Source organism: Homo sapiens, chromosome 21, assembly GCF_000001405.40.
Source record: "Homo sapiens chromosome 21, GRCh38.p14 Primary Assembly".
In the NCBI taxonomy this organism is placed as follows: Eukaryota; Metazoa; Chordata; class Mammalia; order Primates; family Hominidae; genus Homo; species Homo sapiens.
This window is the reverse complement of record NC_000021.9, coordinates 26,309,266-26,312,200: the sequence shown is the minus strand read 5'-3', so window position 1 is coordinate 26,312,200 and position 2,935 is coordinate 26,309,266. Positions and strand designations below refer to the sequence as shown.

The window sequence follows — 2,935 nt, the reverse complement described above, 5'->3', positions numbered from 1 at the left end:
TCTTCGGTGGTGATTTGTGAGATTTTGGTGCACTCATCACCTGAGCAGTATACACTGCACCCTATTTGTAGTTTTTTATATCTCGCCCCACTCCCATCCTTCCTCCCAAGTCCTCAAGGTCCGTTGTATCATTCTTATGCTTTTGTGTCCTCATAGCTAAGCTCCCACATAGTAGTGAAAACATACAATGTTTGATTTTCCATTCCTGAGTTACTTCACTTAGCATAATAGTCTCCAATCTCATCCAGGTCACTGCAAATGCTGTTAATTCACTCCTTTCTATGGCTGAGTAGTATTCCATCTCATATATATATATATATATATATACACACACACACACACACACACACATATATAAACTGTGATATATAAATGTATATATATACGTACATACATATATGTATATATGTATATATGTATGTGTATATATGTATGCACATATGTATGTGTATATATGTATGCGCATATGTGTGTATATATGTATGCACATATGTGTGTGTATGTATGCACATATGTGTGTATATGTATGCACATATGTGTGTATATGTATGCACGTATGTGTGTATATGTATGCACATATGTGTATATATGTATGCATGTGTGTGTGCACATGTGTGTATGTGTGTGCACACGTGTGTGTATATGTGTGCACATATATGTGTGTATATGTGTGCGCATATATATACATGTATATATGTATGCGCATATATATACATGTATATATGTATGCGCATATATATACATGTATATATGTATGCGCATATATATACATGTATATATGTATGCACATATATATATATATACATGTATATATATATGGTTTTTTGACTCAGTCTGGGACTCTTCAAAGAGATAATTCCATTAATTGTTCCAACAGAATAGTTTCTTTATCCACTCATTGATTGATGGGCATTTTGGTTGGTTCCACGATTTTGCAATTGTGAATTTTGCTGCTATAAACCTGTGTGTACAAGTATCTTTTCTGTATAATGACTTCTTTCCTCTGGGTAGATACCCAGTAGTGGGATTGCTGGATCAAATGGTAGTTCTACCTTTAGTTCTTTAAGGAATCTCCACACTGTTTTCCATAGTAGTTGTACTAGTTTACATTACTACCAGCAGTGTACAAGTGTTCCTTGATCACCACATCCATGCCAACATCTACCATTTTTTTATTTTTTGATTATGGCTATTCTTGCAGGAGTAAGGTGGTATCGCATTGTGATATTGATTTGCATTTCCCTGATAATTAGTGATGTTGAGCATTTTTCACATGTTTGTTGGCCATTTGCATATCTTCTTTTGAGAATGACCTATTCATGTCCTTAGCCCACTTTTTGATGGGATTGTTTGAGTTTGTTGTAGATTCTGGATATTACTCCTTTGTCAGATGCATAGATTGTGAAGATTTTCTACCACTCTGTGGGTTGTCTGTCTACTCTGCTGACTGTTCCTTTTGCCATGCAAAAGCTCTTTAGTTTAATTAAGTCCCAGCTATTTATCTTTGTTTTTATTGCATTTGCTTTACGGTTCTTGGTCATGAAATCCTTGCCTAAGCCAATGTCTAGAAGGGCTTTTCCAATGTTGTCGTCTAGAATTTTTATAGTTTCAGGCTTTAGATTTAACTCCTTAATCCATCTTGAATTGATTTTTTTGTATAAGATGAGAGATGAGGATCCAGTTTCATTCTCTTACATGTTGCTTGCCAATTATCCCAGCAGCATTTGTTGAAAAGGCTGTCCTTCCCCCAACTTTATGTCTTTGTTTGCTTTGTTGAAGATAAGTTGGCTGCAAGTATTTGGGCTTATTTCTGGGTTCTCTGCTGTGTTCCATTGGTCTACATGCCCATTTTCATACAAGTACCATGCTGTTTTGGTGACTATGGCCTTATAATGTAGTTTGAAATCAGGTAATGTGATGCCTCCAGATTTGTTCTTTTTGCTTATTCTTGCTTTGGTTGTGTGGGCTCTTTTTTGGTTTTATATGAATTATAGAATTGTTTTTTCTAACTATATGAAGAATGATGGTGGTATTTTGATGGGAATTGTGTTTAATTTGTAGATTGCTTTTGGCAGTATGGTCATTTTCACAATCTGGATTCTACCTATCTATGAGAGTGGGATGTGTTTCCATTTGTTTCTGTCATCTATGATATCTTTCAGCAGTGTTTTCTAGTTTGCCTTGTAGAGGTCATTCACCTCCTTAGGTATATTCCTAAGTGTGTGTTTGTTTGTTTGTTTGTTTGTTGCAGCTATTATAAAAGGGGTTGAGTTCTTGATTTGATTCTCCGCTTGGTCACTGTTGGCTTATAGAAGAGCTACTGATTTGTGTACATTAATTTTGTATCCAGAAACTTTGCTGAATTCTTTTATCAGTTCTAGGGGCTTTCTGGAGGAGTCTTTAGGGTTTTTGAGGTAAATGATCATATCATCAGCAAAAAGTGACAGTTTGACTTCCTTTTTACCAATTTGAATGCCCTTTTTTTTTTCTCTCTCTCGTCTGATTGCTCTGGCTAGGACTTCCAGTACTATATTGAAGAGGAGTGATGAGAGTGGCATCCTTGTCTTGTTCCAGTTCTCAGAGGGAATGCTTTCAACTTTTCCCCATTTATTATTATGTTGGCTGTGGGTTTGTCATAGATGGATTTTATTATATTGAAGTATGTCCCTTGTATGCCGATTTTTCTGAGAGCTTTAATCATAAACCGATGCTGGATTTTGTTGAATGCTTTTTCTGCATCTATTGAGATGATAAAGTGATTTTTGTTTTTAATTCTGTTTGCGTGGTGTATCACATTTATTGACTTATTAAACCATCACTGCATCCCTGGTATGAAACCCACTTGATCACAGTGAATTATCTTTTTGATTATGTTGTTGAATTCTGTTAGCTAGTATTTTGTTAAGGATTTTAGCGTCTATGTTCATCAAGGATA

The 2,935-nt window shown here is 35.4% G+C and overlaps 1 annotated feature.

The window, feature by feature from the left end:
• Positions 266-978: an enhancer, noted in NCBI's record as "OCT4 hESC enhancer chr21:27683542-27684254 (GRCh37/hg19 assembly coordinates)". NCBI's record gives its function as "activates a minimal SCP1, AML or CMV promoter by ChIP-STARR-seq in naive H9 embryonic stem cells {active_cell/tissue: H9 hESC(naive)}" and the evidence as "EXISTENCE:reporter gene assay evidence [ECO:0000049][PMID:30033119]".